Source organism: Homo sapiens, chromosome 18, assembly GCF_000001405.40.
Source record: "Homo sapiens chromosome 18, GRCh38.p14 Primary Assembly".
Classification (NCBI taxonomy): Eukaryota; Metazoa; Chordata; class Mammalia; order Primates; family Hominidae; genus Homo; species Homo sapiens.
The window spans coordinates 37,047,321-37,067,758 of NC_000018.10; the positions used below are offsets into that span (position 1 = coordinate 37,047,321).

General features: G+C 37.3%; 1 protein-coding gene across 24 annotated transcripts in view; it reads left to right on the plus strand.

Annotated features, from left to right (window-relative positions):
• The window catches only part of KIAA1328, a 403,046-nt gene that overhangs the window by 218,194 nt on the left and 164,414 nt on the right, over nucleotides 1-20,438 (plus strand). For 22 of the 24 annotated variants that reach the window (NR_136303.3, XM_047437678.1, XM_047437680.1 and 19 more), the window contains one exon: nucleotides 19,570-20,225. Coding sequence is in view for 21 of the 24 variants with exons in the window: in XM_047437678.1 (XP_047293634.1) it covers nucleotides 19,570-20,225 (656 nt within the window). In the remaining 3 variants the exon portion in view is untranslated. Of the gene's footprint in view, nucleotides 1-19,547; nucleotides 20,226-20,438 lie in introns of all 24 variants that reach the window. The other 2 variants (NR_136304.2, NR_136305.2) reach the window with 1 other exon arrangement.

Here is a 20,438-nt window from a genome sequence, read left to right on the forward strand (position 1 = left end):
TCCTTTATTATTTCATTTCCTTCCACTGCCTATCACTTGGCTCATTGGCCATCTACTATATTAGATGGGCATAAGGAATTAAAAGTGAAACTTCTTCCATGGCACTGACACCATTTTTATACTGGCTCCTTCCTAAAATTTTGGCTGCATCTATTTGCCATTGCCCTGTTCACTATGCTCTGGACTCCCTAGAGTTCACCCTACATATTTATTTTCATCATCCCTGTCTTCAACTAATATTTTCCACTCTGCCAGAAATGTCCTACACCTCACACCCTCACATATACCTTTATTATTAATTCCAATTTGTCTTCCAAAATTTCGCATAAATGTCAACTCTGCTATGAAACTTTTTCAACTTCCTTGCCCTCACTAAAGGCAAAACTAATTCCCCTGCTGCTGCTCTTTATATATAGCACTCTTGATAGACTTTATCACGTAAAATGGTTTTCCCCTTTTGCCAAAATTTGAGGGCTGTGAGAGTTGGGACTCTGACTTACCAAGCCTGGCACCTAGCACAGTATCCGGCAGATACTTTCAGATCCCCATCCTGCCCGCTCATCTCAAGGTGGCAGCCTATACTTTTGGATAAAATTTTAAAGAGGGAGTATAATGACACCAAATGTGTTTATTCATAATATTTTGGTTATGCATACTACTCCCTTATAATGCTGGCCAAATATACAAGATTTGGCCTTTGGCTACAAAACTTTTGGCTATTCCTATGTACCTTCCATTTAATAACTTGAAAAAAAATCATTCCTTCCAAAATGTCCAGCATCTTAATCCTTTCTTTTCCCATTTGGTACTAGAGCAGCACTCAAATAAGCGAACAGAAGGAAAATATTTATTTTTAAGTATTTTTGAATAAGCTGTAAGACTGTATTTGTTTGGTAGTGTCTTCTCACACATTGGATAACGACATTAACTGAAAAAGGATTTAGGGGAAAATGCAATTAACTTTACATTTTCTAAAGCCCTGCTTGTCCCAGATTTCCATAAATCTCTCTTCTGAATGTAATGCTGTATGTCTCCAAATGTGCTATCCTTCTTTATGATGTGAGAGTCACTTACGTTAAGGCTGATTTTTTTTTTTAACAACTCAACAAAGTAGGAGTCCTGAGGCAGTTGCCTTTTATTCAAGTATTATGTCTTACAACCTGTCTATTTGCCTATCCTTACTCTAGGTTGATACAGCACATATTTTTTAGTCATCCAATACAATCTCTAGTTTTAAACCCTTTTCATGGAACATTGTAGAAGGCAATATAATAATGGTGCTTTACGTTTAAATTCTCATTTCAAAAGCAAAAATTGCCCTAGTAATTTGCTATTTTACTGATCTAAACTAAAAAGCCATAAAGATCCCTATTTTTATGGCCTCTGTTTAAGACAGTTGAAATTTTCCTTGTGTTCATAGAACTTTTTATCAGTCTGTAAACACTTGGACTGAGAAATTATAAACTGTGAGTGGCTGCTGGAATACACTAAATACATTTTAAGATAAGTTACCTGTTAAGTTCCTTAGGATACAAGTTAGTCCATTTAGCTGTTGCTGCTCCTGCTTCCTGCTTGTTGGTTCTTTCAATAAATATTCACTAATTTAAGTGTCTTTTAATTGTAAAGAATGGTGTTATTGAAATATGAGGTTGAAAGTAACATTTTCTTTATCCCCAAGTTCCATACAGTATATTGGAGAGGTGCCAAAATCTATGCAAAAACCATTATTTATTGTGCATTGTGCACTGCTGTCTCTTACTGGGGATAACGCAATGAATAAAACATACATGGTCTGTGCCCTCAAAGAGTTCACAGTTTAAGAGAACTGTAAATAAATACTTAAACATCACAAGGAAAGTTAGAGATGTGAAAACAGCTAACACTTAACTGTCATGGAACAGGATGAAAAAAGTTCAACAATAAAGGAATGAAATGCTCTTGCGGTGCCTGGGAAGGCACAACTAGTCTGAACTGGGGACATAGGAAAACCACAATGGAGGAAAATGATGCCAACTCAGCCTTGAATCATGAGTAGAACTTTGAAGACCAGAAAAAGAAGTTAGGGCATTTGAGCACTAGGAAACTCATTTTATTTTTATTTCTAAATAAAATATCTTCCCTTGTTTTTTTTACAGTAAACCAAACTAGCTAATAAACAATACTCTAAATTTTTAAAAGTCAGGATTTGTCACAATGTTAGTTAAAAGATTAAGATTTCTAAACAATCTTGAGACCCCCAAGGAAAGGCTAACCCTCCAAGGACAGCCATCTTAAATCTCTTCGGTTTGGTAGTTCTCTGTGCCTTCAGAAATGCTTCTCACTCAGTCTCTTTAATATCCCTGGTCTGATCTATAGCCACCTACACAAGGAAGAAATGAACATACAGGCTTAAGAAAGACTCTGATCTTTAGTAATAAGGCTGTGATTCACCTTGGGAAATCTTGGATAACAGTTTGGTCTTCTGTCTGTCTTATTTGTCTACAAATAGAGTGTGGGTTATACTTTTTGGTATTTCTTAAATACTGTTTTTCAGAGAGTTTATTTTCACTTGTTTGTCTCAGAAATACAGTGTACGTACTTTTTCCTTAACCAATAGCATAAATACAATATAAACTCTGATCTCCCCTGCAGGGACAGCTGGGTTTGTGCAGATAGTGTTAATTTTATGTTTTCTAGAAAATGTATTAGAATTTTTTGTTAAAACTCTCTTTCATATGACACAAATTCATCTTTGAATGAATTTAAAAGAACCCATTGAAACATCTGTCTATACCAAGTTCTGGTTTCTATTCCTGAGCCTGATTGTTACTGGAGGACATAAAAGAGGTCAGTGAATGGTCCCTGGGAGTGCTGCTTGGTAGCCTCAGGATACTCTCTACAAACCAAACCAAGAGGGTGGCACCAAAAAAAGAAAAAAAAGGAAAAAGAAAAAAGGTCTATACATCTTATAGATCATTTTTTTATGTTGCGTCCTTAAATGAATCTTAGTATTAGTTGGCTTTATTCTCCTTTATGTTTTGTTTTTATTTTATACCTCTGAAGACTGTTCTCACCACTTCTTCCATGGGGTTCCCTTGTCTTTGCCTGTCTCATTTTCTCTTTAAAATTATTTCACCTTTTTCTGATCTGCATTAAATAATTCAAACTAGCATTATGCTTTTCTTTCTCATATACATTTAGAAAACCATGTATAAGACTGCTTTTTTTCTTTTGGCAACTACATTTATATATGTGAAAATGATTTGAATCAGTACCATTGTTACATATTTCTGTGGTAAATGGCTGTCCCTTTTAAATCCCATCAAAATATTTATCAAAAATAAATATCCTCACAATTAGACGTTTGTCTTCTTCAACTTTCAGTTGTGTCTCTTTCAGGTTGAATGACCAGATATATAAATTGTGATGCTGATTTAAGTTATTCAGCATGTGAATCACATAAGGCAGTAACAGAGTTAGAGGAAATAGAACCAAGACATATTCAGTAATTTGCTCTAAGTCTGTTCATTGATAGCTGAATGTTTACTGATTGGTATGATTTCTCATCTAGCCTTTTTCTTTTCTTTCATTTCCTTGATGTACAGCAACTTAATCCTGGTGTTTTTCAGCTCTTAAACGTAGCATAAACCATAGAGATAATCAAACCCAACCCTCTCTTTTACAAATGACTAAACATGCTTAAGAGAGGTAAAGGGACTTACCTAAAACAACAGAACTCCTAACTAATAGTATTAGAATTATAATCAAGGTCTTTTGACCCTACATTGAGTATTCTGTCAATTGTTCCATGATGTCTCGTCATTTTTATAGCAACTCAAAAAATTTCAACTTTCACGAAATGTAGTAATGGTTAAATAACATAAGGTTTAAAAGAAATAACAGATTAGAGCAGAACTAAATGAAATTGAGAGCAAAAAAAAAAACATATAAAAAGGGTCGGTGAAACAGTTGACTCTGAAAGGATAAACAAAATTGATAGACCACTTGCTAGATTAATAAGGAAAAAAAAGAAGATTCAAATAAGCACACTCAGAAATCACAAAGGTGACGTTACAGCTGATACCACAGAAATACATATGATCCTCAGAGACTACTATGAACATCTCTATACATACAAACTAGAAAGCCTAGAGGAAATGGATAAATTCCTGGAAACCCACACCCTCCCAAGATTGAACCAATAAGAAGTTGAAATCCTAAACAGACCAAATAACGAGTTATGAAATTGAATCAGTAATAAAAAATCTATCAAAGAAAACCCTGTACTAGATGGGTTCACAGCTACATTCTACCAGATGTTCAAAGCAGAGCTGGTACGAATCTTACTGAAACTATTTTTAAAAATCAAGGAGGAGGAATTCCTCCCCAACTCATTCTACAAAACCATTATCTTCCTGATACCAAAATCTGGCAAAGACACAATAAATAAGACTACAGGCCAGGCTGGGTGCAGTGGCTCCCACTGTAATCCCAGCACTTTGGGAGGCCAAGGCAGGCGGATCACTGAAGTCAGGAGTTCAAGACCAGCCTGGCCAACATGGTGAAACCCCATCTCTACTAAAAATACAAAAATTAGCCAGGCGTGGTGCTGGGTGCCTCTAATCCCAGCTATTTGGGAGGCTGAGGCAGGAGAATCACTTGAAACTAGGAGGTGGAGGTTGCAGTGAGCCAAGATCACGCCACTGCACTTTGGCCTAGGTGACACAGCAAGACTACGTCTCAAAAAAAAAAAAACTACAGGCCAGTATCCCTGATTAACATAGGTAGAGATTTTCTTAATAAAATATGAGAAAACCAAACCCAGCAACACATCAAAAGGATAATTTATCACAATCAAGTGGATTTTATTCCTGAGATGCAACAATGGTTCAACATATGCAAATGAATAAATGTGATTCACTCCATAAACAGAATTAAAAACCATATGATCACCTCAATAGATGCAGAAAAAGCTTTCAATAAAATCCAACATCTCTTCATGATAAAAACCCTCAACAAACTAGGTGTTAAAGAATATACCTCAAAATAAAAAGAGGAACTTACGACAAATACACCGCAAACATCTTACCAAATGGAGAAAAGTTAAAAGCATTACCCCTAATAACTGGAACAAGACAAGTATGTTCACCTCACCATTCCTGTTCAACGTAGTACTGGAAGTCTAGCCAGAGCAATCAGACAAGATAAAGAAATAAAAGACATCCAAACAGAAAAAGAGGACGTCAAATTATCTCTGTTCACTGACGACATAATCCTATATCTAAAAAAAAAACCCTAAAGATTTCTCCAAAAGGCTTCTAGAATCAATAAACAAATTCACTAAGGTTTCAGAATACAGAATCGGCATTCAAAAAACCAATAGCATTTCTATACACCAATAACGTTCAAGCAGAGAACCAAATCAAGAACTCAATGCCATTTACAATAGCCACACACACAAAAATGAAATACCTAGGAATACAGCTAACCAAGGAAGTGAGATCTCTACACGAACTAAAAAACAATGCTGAAATGTAACAGAGATGACAAAAACAGGTGGAAAAGCATCCCATGCTCATTAATGGGAAGAATCAATATCATTAAAATGACCATACTGCCCAAATCGATTTATAGATTCAGTGCAAACCCTATCAAGTTACCAACATCATTTTCATAGAATTAGAAAAAGCAGTTCTAAAATTCATATGGAACCAAAAATGAGTGCAAATAGCCAAAGCAGTCCTAAGCAAAAAGAACAAAGCTGGAGGCATCACATTACCTGATATGAAACTATGCTACAAGGAAATAGTAATCAGAATAGCATGATACTAGTACAAAAATAGACACACAGACCAATGGAACAGAATCCAGAAATAAGGTAGCACATCTATAACCAACTTATCTTCATCAAAGTCAACAAAGGTACACAATGGAGAGAGGATACCCTGTTCAATAAATGGTGCTGGGAAAATTGGCTAGCCATATGCAGAGGAAAGAAACTGGACTCTTATCTTTTACCATATATAAAAATACACTCAAGATGGACTAAAGACTTACATGTGATACTTAAAACTATAAAAATTCTAGAAGAAAATATAGGAAAAACACACTTGGATATTGGCCTAAGCAAAGAATTTATGACTAAGACCTCAAAAACAAATGCAACAGAAATAAAAATATATGAATGGGACATAATTAAATGAAAGAGCTTCTGCACAGCAAAAGAAACTATCAACAGAGTAAAAAGACAGCCTTAAGAATAGTATTAGTTCATTTTCACAGTGCTATAAAGAAATACCCAAGACTGGGTAATTTATAAAGGAAAGAGGTTTAATTGACCCACAGTTCCACATGGCTTGGTAGGCCTCCGGAAACTTACAATCATGGTGGGAGGGAAAGCAAACATATCCTTCTTCACGATCTTGTGAGAACTCACTCACTATCACGAGAACAGCATGGGAGTAACCACCCCCATGATCCAGTCACCTCCCACAAGGTTCCTCCCCCAACACGTGAGGATTACAATTCAGATTACAATTCAAGATGAGATTTGGTTGGGTACACAGAGCCAGAACATGTCAAATAGAATACAGAATTTGCAAAGTATGCATCTGACAAAGGTCTGGTATCCAGAACCTATAAGGAACTTAATCAGATCAACAAGAAAAAAAAAAAAACATTAAAAAGTAGGCAAACGACATGAACAGACACTTCACAAAAGAAGATATGTAAGTGGCCAAGAAACATGAAAAAATGCTCAACATCACCAGTCATCAGAGAAATGTAAATCAAAACCACAATGAGATACCATCTTACATCAGTCAAAATGGCTATTATTAAAATGTAAAAAAATGTAAAACCCAGATATAGGTTGGAATGCAGAGGAAAGGGAACAGTTACAACTTGTTGGTGGGGATGTAAATTAGTTCATCCCCTATGGAAAACAGTATGGAGATTTCTTAAAGAAGTAAAACTGGAACCAACATTTTACCTAGCAGTCTCACTACTAGATATCTACCCAAAGGAAAAAAAATCATTTTATCAGGAAAGACACCTGCACTCATATGTTTATTGCAGCACTATTCACAATAGCAAAGGTGTGGAATCAACCTAAGTGTCCATCAATGGTGGATTAGACAAAGAAAAGTTGGTATAGATACACCATGAAATAGTATGCAGCCATAGAAAAGAATGAAATCACATCCTTTGCCGGAAAATGGATGCAGCCAGAGGCCATTATCCTACGCAAATTAACACAGAAACAAAAAGTCAAATACCACACGTTCTCACTTTTAACTGGAAGCCAAACAATGAGTACACATGGATATAACGATGGAAACAGTAGACACTGGGGACTCCAAAATGGGAGTGGAAGAGTGGGGAAAAGGGTTGTAAAAGCTGCCTGTTGGGTAGTACATCCACTATTTGGGTGATGGATTCACTGGAAGCCAAAACCCAGCATTATGCAGTACATCCACATAACAAATTTGCACATGAACCCCCTGAATCTATTTTTTAAAAAGATTATGAGATTTAGCCTTTTCTGAATCTGGTAGTTACTGTTAAAAATGTTGACAGGCCAGAGGTACACATATCCTAGCATCTGTTCTGACATTTGGTAGGTGTTACTAGTGTTCTATTCTGTTATTTACACTTTATTGTGTGCCTTCTGTGTGCCTATATTCTTTTAAATTCCATAATTATTGACTTTAATGTCTCTCAGATTCAGTATTCCTAAATTGTGCTGCAATCCCTATGGGAACTAGAATAAGTTATGAGAGCCTAGAAAATGTTTTTGACTGCTCCATTCTGTTATTTTCTCTTCCATTGATGGCCTACAGCTTCGGCTGCTGAGTGGTGAAGGAGCTTAAACCTCCTGGGCCCATTAGATCTAACTTGTTTACTGCATTGATATCTATATGTTAAATGACAAGAGAGTTCAAGTTATTGAATAATTTAAAATTCAGCTCTAATTGGTGTCATATGACCTGGAAAAGGCCATGGATGATGCCAGGAGCATGCTGTGAATTTCTTATAAATAATTCATGAATTAGATGATTCATTTGCTTGGATGTCTTGCTAAATGCAGAAGTTTGTAAGTTGCAACTGATGATATAACACCTGTAAGTATTTAGTTCATATGCTTAGAAGGTAATCTACCTTGATGATCTTCTAGCAAAATCTGCCAGCAGAGGAGAGTTAATTGCATGGGGGAAAATGAACATTTATTTGGGATGAGACTTTGGCAAACCACACAGTGCAGCTGTTGCATCACATATTTTCTGTCAACTTGACGACTGGTCCATATATGCCTAGTGTTAAAAATGCATCATGTCATTCTGTGCCTTCTTTTACATTAACTCCAGATGCTCTGGGAGATACAACGACCTGGCCCACACAGTAGTTTAGGTTTAGAAATATTTATTTAGGTCTTGAAATACTGACTTCTCAATAGAATAAAGAGCAGAGAGGGAAATTTTGAAGTTACAAAACTGAGATTTATTCATTCTTATAAGGCTGTAAGTGGGAATATGAGGATTGTTATAGGGTGCTTATCAGGATAGGAAATTATTATTTATCATTAGAGAATGAATAGCAATAAGACCTGTTGGTACTATTGAGTAATCCTGTGGTGAACAACTCATAAATGCATTGGAAGTAATCACATCCTAAACATCTAAAGTTAATAACAACCTGTTATAAGAAATTATTACTGCAGTTTAGTTCACCTCTTTATGAGACTGACCAGGCCTATAAAAATGATTTACAGAAACTTATAGAACATCACTGTTTACTTGTTGATGGGATTTCACAAAGTAATACTGCAATTGTTTTTTGACATGTGAGAACGTGAGAAAATCCTGGCTTATCATAAGAATAGTATGTGATTTTTGGTATGTGTTCATATATGTGCTTATGTACATGTGTATGTGTGCATACATGTATACAAGATCATATACATATTTATAAATAGGCATTGTTTTCTATGCAGTCTTTAAAACATTGTATTTTTAAAATTATCTTAAAGATTTAGAAAATATTTTTCTAACTCAGAAATTTATTTATCTTCAATATTAGAAAATCCTTCATTGTATCCAAACCAAGTCTCTCACAGGTTTTTTTTTTAATCCTTGTTCTTTTGTCATTAGTTTCTTTTATCTAGTCATTAGCCTGTGCCTACCCAAGTTATGAAATATTATGCTTCAATTCTGTCGTAAACCAAAGATACCTTCATTTTCTCCTCATCTTTGTTTTATGCTGTGGATTCCATAGCACACCATGTTAGAAGTCGCCCTTGATGGAAGTTATTTTTAGTAGCCAAAAATTGTGGTATCTTTAGTATAAGACAAATCCTTTTCTCTTTTTTTTGAAATGGAGTCTCCCTCTGTCACCCAGGCTGGAGTGCAGTAGTGTGATCTCGGCTCACTGCAACCTCTGCCTCCTGGGTTCAAGCAGTTCTCCTGCTTCAGCCTTCCAAGTAGCTGGGATTGCAGGAGTGCACCACCATGCCTGGCTAATTTTCAGTTAAGATGGGGTTTCACTATGTTGGCCAGGCTGGTCTCAAATTCCTTACCTTAAGTGATCCACCCACCTTGGCCTCCCAAAGTACTGGGATTACAGGCATGAGCCACCACGCCCAGCCTATATAAGACAAATCCTAATATGCTACCACTGTGAACTTAACTTTTTTATCTGTTGTAATCTATAGATTTTTTCCTGTCTAAATACAGTTTGTTTTTGTAGCCTATGTATATCCCCCTACATGCTTTTCTGCTAAATGTCATTTGTTCATTCATGTAGCTCATTTTTATTACATAGAAAAAAATGTAAATATGTAGTACATTTCAAGTCATATTGTTCACTTTTATTACTGGGTTTTGAGCATATTCATAGAATTATTTAATGCCTATTCATAGGATTCTTCAATTGAAAGAATATTTAGTATAATCATCAAGTTCAGTTGGCAAACTACAGCAGGTCATATATAGCCCACTGCATGATTTTGTACAACTCATGAGCTAAGAATGATTTTTACTTCTTAGCCATTTAATGATGGTTCCATTTAAAGAACCATCATTAAATGGTTGGGGGAAAAGGATATTTCATGAAATTGGAAAATTGCATGAATTTTTTTTTTTTTTTTTTGAGACACAGTCTCACTCTGTCGCCCAGGTTGGAGTGCGGTGGCGCGATCTCGGCTCACTGCAAGCTCCGCCTCCCGAGTTCACACCATTCTCCTGCTTCAGCCTCCTGAGTAGCTGGGACTACAGGTGCACACCACCACATCTGGCTAATTTTTTTTTTTTTTGTATTTTTAGTAGAAACGGGGTTTCACCGTGTTAGCCAGGATGGTCTCGATCTCCTGACCTCGTGATCCACCTGCCTCGGCCTCCCAAAGTGCTGGGATTACAGGCATGAGCCACCACGCCTGGCCTGCATGAAATTTAAATTTCACTGCCTATAAATAAGGTTTTACTGTAACACAGATACAACCATTGTCCATGTATTATCTCTCTTGCTTTTGCACTACAAAAGCAGAGCTGTGCAGCTATGACAAGGATCTCATGGCCTGCAAAGCCAAAAATATTTATTGTATGGCCCTTTACAAAAAAAAAGTTTGCCGACCTTGTCGTAGTTGCACTTGGCTGAGGCCAGCATCACAGGCGGTGAACGAATTTACCAAGATAGTCATAGGTAAAGAGAGGCAGATTTATTAGAGAAAGTATGGATATATGTTGCAGGGGTGCAACAGACAACACGACAGAGAAGGGCTGTCTGCAAAGAGTCAGGGACTGTAGGGAAGCTTTCTAGGGTTGTTCTGTAGGGGCTACATGTGGAATGAGGTTGTGCTGCTTGGGTTATGTGCAGAGAGATGTGGTTAACCCAGCAGCTTGTTTGTGATTAGCTGTCTCTCAGAGCAATTGTTTTCCCCCACCTGAGACCCCTTCCTCGTTGTTGCTTACTTATCAGGACTCCACATTCCTCTGCAAGATAGGTATAAAAATCAGTAAATTCTAGCTACATGCAACATCATGGATAAGGTTCACAAATATAATGTTAGATGAAAGAAGCCAGACACAAAAGAATATATATCATATGATTCCATTTATACTTAAAAAATAAACAAGTAGGCTGGGCATGGTGGCTCATGCCTGTAATCCTAGCACTTTGGGAGGCCAAGGCAGGTGGGTTGCCTGTGCTCAGGAGTTTGAGACCAGCCTGGGCAACACGGTGAAACCCTGTCTCTACTAAAATACAAAAATTTAGCCAGGTATGCAGCGTGCCCCTGTAGTCCCAACTACTTGGGAGGCTGAGGCAAGAGAATTGCTTGAACCCAGGAGGCAGAGGTTGCAGTGAGCCGAGATCATGCCACTGCACTCCAGCCTGGGTGACAGAGCAAGACTCTGTCTCTAAAAAAAAATTTTAATAAAATAAATAAATAAATAAACAAGTAAAACTGAACTCTAGTATGGATGTTGAAGCACAAAAGGTTCAAAGCAAAGAAGTTACTCCCCTAAAGGTCAGAATAGTCATTCCCTTTGACTGGAGAGGTAGAGGGTACTAACTGTGTGGGGCCAGGAGGGTCTTTTGTGTGCAAGTTGTGTTTTTTTTTTCTTGGATAGTGGTTACATGGGTATTGCCTTGTGATTATTTACTGAGCTGTTCATATTTGTTTTGTAAACATTTCTCTGTTTATTATATTTCACGTTAAAGAAGTTGGGTTTTTTTTTTAGAAGGAACAGTATAGAGTAACAGAAGTAACAGAGTGAGATATTTCCCATATCTCACATGCAATGTTGATGTGACCTTGGGAAAGTTGTATTGCTTCATCGAACCTCATTTTCCCATCTGTAAAATGGTAATTATAATAACTACCTTACAGAATTAACGTTGAATATGTAAAACATTTGGCATACTACATAGTAAGCTCTGAGTTAAGAATAGCCTAAGTGCAACCTACAGAATGGGAGAAAATTTTTGCAATCTAGCCATCTGACAAAGGGCCAATATCCAGAATCTACAAGGAACTTAAACAAATTTACATGAAAAAAACAACCCCATCAAAAAGTGGGCAAAGGGTATGAACAGACACTTCTAAAAAGAAGACATTTATGTGACCAACAAACATAAGAAAAAAAGCTCATCATTACTGGTCATTAGAGAAATGCAAATCAAAACCACAATGAGATACCATCTCATACCAGTTAGAATGGCGATCATTAAAAAGTGAGGAAACAACAGATGCTGGAGAGGATGTGGAGAAATAGGAATGCTTTTACACTGCTGGTGGAAGTGTAAATTAGTTCAACCATTGTGGAAGACAGTGTGGCGATTCCTCAAGGATCTAGAACCAGAAATACCATTTGACCCAGCAGTCCCATTACTGGGTATATACCTAAAGGATTATAAATCATTCTGCTATAAAGACACATGCATATGTATGTTTATTGTGGCACTATTCACAATAGCAAAGACTTGGAACCAACACAAATGCCCATCAGTGATAGATTGGATAAAGAAAATGTGGCACATATACACCATGGAATACTATACAGCCATAAAAAAGGATGAGTTAATGTCCTTTGCAGGGACATGGATGAAGCTGGAAACCATCATTCTCAGCAAACTAACACAGGAACAGAAAACCAAACACTACATGTTCTCACTCATAACTGGGAGGGGAACATCACACACTGGGGCCTGTTGGGGGATGGGGGGCTAGGGGAGGGATAGCATTAGGAAAAATACCTAATGTAGATGATGGGTTGATGGGTGCAGCAAAACACCATGGCACATGTATACCTATGTAACAAACCTGCACATTCTGCACATGTATCCCAGAACTTAAAGTATAATAATAATAATAATAATAAATAGCCTATGTGATGACAGGCTGTTCTTGGAAAATGTAGGGCATTCAATGGTCAGTGAAGGTGACTGTTTAGAGAAATAATTTGTACAAAGTTGTTCCTTGACCTTCATTTTTTATTTTCCATCTCTTTAACACTTATTTTGAATTATTTAAAGGTCTTGTTTTCACCAAGCACTTCACAAAAGAAGACATTCACATGACCAAAAAGCATAAGAAAAGTTGTTCAACATCATGACATATAAGAGAAATGCAAAATAAGACCACAACGAGATTTCACTGCACACACACCAAAATGGCTAAAAATAAAAACACTTATACTACCAAGTGTTCACGTGAATGCGGAGCAACTGGGACTCTTACACTTCACTTGTGGGATATGAAATCAAATAAACACTTCGGAAAACTTATTGGATTGGCAGTGCCTAATAAAGTTAAACGTATGCCTACACTATGGCCAAGATAAATAAATGCATATATCTAAAAAAAAAGACTTTTATCATTACTTTTAATGGCAAAAACGCAATTACTTTTGCACCAGCCTAATATAAGACTATTCATACATGCTTTATTCATAATAACCCCTAACTAGATACAATTTTATATCCATCAACAAGAGAATGAATAAATTGTGATATATTCATACAGTGAAATACTATGCAGCGGGCTGAGCGCTGTGGCTCACGCCTGTAATCTCAGCACTTTGGGAGGCCGAGGCAGGTGGATCATGAGGTCAGGAGATCGAGACCATCCTGGCCAACATGGTGAAACCGTGTCTCTACTAAAATAGAAAAATTAGCCGGCCATGGTGGTGTGTGCCTGTAGTCCCAGCTACTCAGGAGGCTGAAGCAGGAGAACCTCTTGAACCCAGGAGGCAGAGGTTGCAGTGAGCCAAGATCGTGCCACTGCACTCCAGCCTGGGCGACAGAGCAAGACTCCGTCTCAAAAAAAAAGAGAAAGAAAAATACTACGCAGTGATAAAAAGGATGCACTATTTATTGAAACACACAACATAGAAGAAGCTAAAAAATTATGTTGAGCTAGAAAAACCAGGCACAAAAGAGTGACATACTCTATGATTGCATTTATTTGAGGTTTAGCATAAGCAAAATGAATCTGGTCATAGAGGTCAGAATGATAGTTATCCCTGGGAGTCTGAGGAGGTGCTATCGACTAGAAAGGGCACAAGGGAACTTTCTGGGGTAATGGAAATGTTCTATAACTTGATCTAGGTGATGGTTACACAGATAGATACAAATATAAAAATTCATCAAGCTGTACACTGAAGATCTTTGCGTTTTATTGTAAATTACGCCTCAATGTTTTAAAAAAATTGTGGTTTCTAAGTTACTGTTATATCTCGGAAGACAATCACATTAAACCCGTATGTCAGAGGCAGCCATTTGGGAGTTCGTGTTGGTTTAAGCCTTAGTTAAGAGAAGTTATATTTGCAAGTATAGAAATCCTGGAGCAGCTCCAGAAAGAAAAATACATCTATTTCATTCAGGCCCATTGTTACTTCCTTGTGTCCTAAAGGCAACATCTGTCTTCAACTCTACTAATAAAATAGCTTAATTTTTTATATTCAGATTCTTACAGGGGGTTTTCAATTTCTATTGTCTTCCTCTTCCTTTAGTTACTGTGACCCATACCCCATCTTGAATTTTTCTGTTAAGCTTTTATAGCAGACCATATGCTGTTGAGAATGTCTGTGTACAAGCCCTAGTGCAGTGCATACAGAGTGATAAATATAGCTCTTTCCTTCAAAATTGTTGAGTCAGAATTCAATGAGAAGAATCATACTAATAATAATAATGGGAAACATTCTTTTGAATACTAACTTTATGTTAGATATGGTCCACGCGCTTTATATGTATTACTTCATTTAATCCTTACAAGAACCCTAAAAGGCAGTGCAACATGTTAGTGTAGAGTGATATCTTTTGTATGAAGGAGAAAAATGAATAACTTCTCTGTTAAGCAATTCAATTCTGGCCTGACTTGCAAACTCAACTTTAGCAAAATAAAGGTAAGTTACTGAACTCATTCACTTTAGAAGAAGTTTAGATATAACCTGTTGTAACTGAACATGGCCTTTGGGGATTTCTCCCCCACCTCATCTACACACCACATACAATGTTCTCCTTGAAAGAAATATGAGTGGGTTTTTTTCTTTTTTGTAAATTGGAATTTTATAAATTGGTGCCCTTGATAACTGCCCATCTTTCTCACCACCACATTCAGTTTTGAAATAGATGTGGTTTTTTTTGTTTTGTTTTTTGTTTTTGTTTTTTTTTTTTGAGACAGAGTCTCACTCTAGAGTCGCCCAGGCTGGAGTGCAGTGGCGCAATCTTGTTTCACTGCAAGCTCCGCCTCCTGGGTTCACGCCATTCTCTTGCCTCAGCCTCCGGAGTAGCTGGGACTGCAGGCGCTTGCCACCACGCCCAGCTAATTTTTTATATTTGTAGTAGAGACAGGGTTTCACCGTGTTAACCAGGATGGTCTCGTTCTCCTGACCTCGTGATCTGCCTGCCTCGGCCTCCCAAAGTGCTGGGATTACAGGCGTGAGCCACCGCGCCCGGCCAATAGATGCATTTTTTAATCCCTGTTTTACTGGTGAGGAACCTGAGTAAAACTGGTGTTTTACTGGTGAGCAACCTCAAATTGCTTAGGCAATTTGAGTAATGTGCTGTATTAGTTTTATAGTGCCGTGTAACAGATTACCACTAACCTGGTAATTTAAAGCTATGCAGATTTATTACCTCACAACGGTTTCTGTGGGTCATGAGTATGGGCACAACTTAGTTGGGTCCTCTGCCTAGGTTCTTAACAATGCTGCAATTAAAGTTCAGCTGGGCTGCATTCCTTTTTTTTTTTTTTTTATACTTTAAGTTCTAGGGTACATGTGCACAACGTGCAGGTTTGTTACATATGTATACATGGCTGCATTATTATCTGGAGCTCAAGGTCCTCTTCCAAATTCACATGGTCATTGGCAGAAGTTAGTTTCTTACATCTATGTGATACATGTCCCATTTACTTACTAGCTGTTGGCTGGAGACTGCTTTCTGCTCCAGATGTTTTTGCCACTTGATTGGCCCGCCCACAACATAGCAATTTATTTCTTCATGGCCAGCAGAAGAATCTCCAACCTTATGTGGGGTGGGGGATGAGGGAGCAGGATAAGACCTTCTTTTAAAGGGCTTACCTGATTAGATCAAGCACACCCAGGATAGTCTCCCTTTTTATTAACTCAAAGTCAACTGATTAGGAACCTTAGTTACATATGAAGTCTGTTTTGCCATAAAATGTAATATAATCTCAGGATTTATATCCTGTCATATTCACAGGTCCTCCCTACACTCAAGGAAAGAAGATAATAAAAGTTGCGTACACTAGGGGGTGAGAATCACGGGGAGCATCTTAGAATTCTGCCTATTACACATGCACAGTAACCAAGCAGGTAATTGACAGAGCATTGCTCTCTAGGCAAAGCATTCGTTAAAATCATTAAGCTGTACTACCTCTCAAAAACAGGAAACATTAACTGAAAAAAATTTTTTAATTTATTCCAAATACTTGATTTTGTGGATAATTTCACAGTTAGTACCATTAAAGTAAGTGTAGAATATGTCAGTACCTAAAAATGGACATATGTAAATAATGTTATGAAACAAAAATGAGACTATAAAACCTGGATATGAATATATAATATAAAATATTTAAGTTTCTGGATCTTTTAAAAACTTACCTGTCATTTGAAATATATATATATATCTAGTAATTTCTGACCTTTTAGTAAAAGATAGTTTACCATACTAAGTAGCAGGTGATAAATGTTAAATGTTTGTACTGGCAGTAAGTACTATAGAAGTTCAGAGTAGGAGAGATTAATGTAGACTAGAGATTCCCTTTAGATGTAAAATAAATTAATTTTTTTGTGAAGTAGCTTATTAGAAATTTTGCCTAGCGCTGGTTCATATTCTATTGCTTGTCATCTGTTTGCTGTACAGGATTGCCTGTGTTCTTTGAAGAAGAGCAAGTCTTCTCTTCATTCTCATTTAAATAGAAATCCTTTAGCATTACTACAGTCATTCAATTAAAATCTTAATCACTGTAATACCCTTCATTCTTTTATCATAGGATAAGAAACATGATGTTGCTGTGTATCTCTGTTAGTTGATACTTTTTACCCATCAGTCCATCATTTGCAACTATTGCGAAATAAATTGGTGGGATTTTTCTCCCCTTATACTAGGGATCTCATTTATTCTCATTCATTTGTTTTATGTCTGTGGAGTAGCTAGCTATTTCAATTGTTTTAAATTACTTTTTATTTAAAAATAGGCATGGTAGACTGAAAGTACCCCCCCCCCCAAATATGACCATGTCTTAATTCCCGAATGTCACGTTATGTGTCACAAGGGACTTTGTAATGCAAGAGACTTTGCAGATGTGATTAAGGCTCTCGAGAGGGGGAAATTAACTGTATTACCCAGGTAGGCCCAATCAAATCCAAGCGGTCCTTCTAAGAAGGAGCAGAAGGAGTCAGAGGAGAAGGCAGTGTGTGATGATGATGGAAGCAGGAGTTGGAGTGACACACCGTGAAGATGGAGGAAGGGCTATAAAAGTGAGAAATACAGGTGGCCACTAGAAGCTAAAAAAGGCAAGGAAGCTGATTCTGTCTTCAGAGCCAAAGGAACTAGCCCTCCCAACGTCTTGACTTCAGCCCAGTGAAACAGATTTCTAATTTCTGACTTCCAGAATTGTAAGATAATACATTTGTGTTATTTTAAGCCACAAAGTTTGTGCTAAGTTGTTATAGCCACAGTAGGAAACTAATACAGTAGTTGTAATATATTTGTTTACTGAAAAACTCATATTTCTCTTGCAGCATTGAGCAAATAAGCTTCCCCATAGCATGCAAATAATTGTGTGTGAAAAGTGAGACTATTTCAGAGGATATGGATAGAAGATTAAGAATTTTTGCTTGTTTGGTTAATATAAGTGTTCAATACACAGAAGATTTTTTGGATTTGTTTGAATAGAAATAGAAAATGGCAAGAAAGTACAGTGTTAACATAAGTGGGCCTTGAATGAAAGCCTGAGGGAAGAGGAAGTGTTAGTGGAAGCTGTCAGATATTTCACTTGTTTAGGTCTGCTTAGTTTCTTTCTCTTACCTTCTCTTTAGCTTTCACTAAAGACTGAATCTGTATATCTAGAGTAAATAGGCCTTGGAAAACAAGGCCTCTCCACAAGTGGATTTGTTCCTTTCAGATTTGTGTTAAAGGTTATACTCTGGCTGCTCAAAAGAAATAACAGCTGCTAGGAATAACACATTTTCAAACAACCCATCTTGCTAGTTAAGTAATTGGACTTGGAGGCCCTTTTTTGCTGTGCTCCAGATCTAAATTGAAGGGAAGTTTTTATGTTATAAAGGGCTACCCTTGGAAGAGTCTGATCGTTAGCTGGATTCATTTTCAGAAATGCACCTCCTTCAGTTTAGTTTGATTAAGTTTCTTTCTTACACATTAATATCTTTCATTATTTTGTTAATTACAAGTGTCTACCTTCATGGGCAAGTTGCTCATTTGAAACACATGCAACATTTACATTAAACTATAATATTTCTGTTTGGACAACGTGGAATCTAGATACACCATGTTTCTGAAATACACTGTGAAGAAAAGCTGCTTAGTTATACTAAGTCAGCGATGTTCAGAGATGAGCTAAGTATAACAACTCAACCTTCCCAGGCCAAGCTCAACAGTAAGGCAGATGGAGGTGTTCCATGATATAGACCAATAGTTTTCAAAGTGTGGTCCCAGATCAGCAACATGAGCAAATTCTCTGACTCTGCTTCCGACAGAAAGATTTGGAAACTCTGGGGATGAAGCTATAGTTTCATGTTTGACAAGCACCCTTCAGTTTATTCTGCTACACATTAAAGTTTGAGAATCATTGATACAGATTAAGTTTTGTTCTCGCTGACAGAACAGACTTACAGCTAAAATGTTGGAAAATCTGACTCTATTGACATGTCAGAGATAATTTGCAACTGCTTCCTTTCTGCCCGAGTTCTATCAGACTAATCACTTGAATAGATTGAAAAATCACTTATGTTTGTAGATGAAATTAAGTATTTTTTGTATTTAAATAACGCTTTTGATTAGAATCCTATTTTGTTGAAAGTGGTTGGTTTTATCTGTGTTCTGTAAAGATAGTTATAAAACCTCATCAAGATTCTACCAGTAAATCACATTCTATTCAGTATAAGGTGAAATGTTTTACATCAAGTCTCATGCTGTGTAATGGCCAAAGAGTATTTAAAGTGACTGAATGGATTCCTTGGCTCAGTATTCAAAAGTAAACATTTTACGATGTTCATGTTTAAGGCTTTCACCTCTTCTCAAAATTGACTTTATGTAACTCTCTTTATTTGCAACTCCAGAAATCACCAAAGATCATGCTTAAGCAACATGTAGCAGCAACTTATTTTTCTTATCTTTATATAGATTTACTGAAGGGTAGGTTGTTTGAAAATGGATGTAGCTTTGGGGCACAAGTCTGTTTAGCTGTGTGAATGCTATAATTTAATATTTAAGACAAAACAACAGCTTTGGCTTGGTAAATATATATCACTGATTTCTGAAAAACCAAACGAAAGAACTTGTTTTGTTGTGTTCTTATTTGACAGGTGATCTTGTGGTTCTTTCTAGGTATCCAGTAGAAAAAGCACTCTCCAGTGTTCATCTGTGGAACTGGATGGTTCCTACTTGAGCATAGCCAGACCACAGACCTACTATCAAACCAAGCAAAGACCTAAGTCTGCAGTCCAGGATTCAGCTTCAGAATCCCTTATAGCATTTAGGAATAATTCTTTGAAACCAGTAACCCTTCATCATCCCAAAGATGATCTAGATAAGATACCATCAGAGACCACAACATGTAATTGTGAATCTCCAGGGAGAAAACCTGCAGTCCCAACAGAGAAAATGCCACAAGAAGAATTGCACATGAAGGAATGTCCACATCTTAAGCCTACTCCTAGTCAATGCTGTGGTCATAGACTTGCTGCAGATCGTGTTCATGACAGCCATCCTACAAACATGACCCCTCAACATCCTAAGACACATCCAGAATCATGCAGTTATTGTCGGCTTTCTTGGGCATCTCTGGTGCATGGTGGTGGGGCACTGCAACCCATTGAAACTTTGAAAAAGCAGATCTCAGAAGATAGAAAGCAGCAACTGATGCTTCAGAAAATGGAACTGGAAATTGAAAAGGAGCGCCTTCAGCATCTGCTGGCCCAGCAGGAGACAAAGCTTCTTCTAAAACAGCAGCAGCTTCACCAGTCTCGACTGGATTACAATTGGTGAGTACTGCCTGTTCTTTTTTTTTTTTTTTTGAGACGAAATCTCGCCCTGTTGCCCAGGCTGGAGTGTAGTGGCACAATCTCAGCTCACTGCAGCCTCCGCCTCCCGAGTTCAAGCAGTTCTCTGCCTCAGCCTCCCGAGTAGCTGGGATTACAGGCGCCCGCCACCATGCCCGGCTAATTTTTGTATTTTTAGTAGAGACGGGGTTTCAC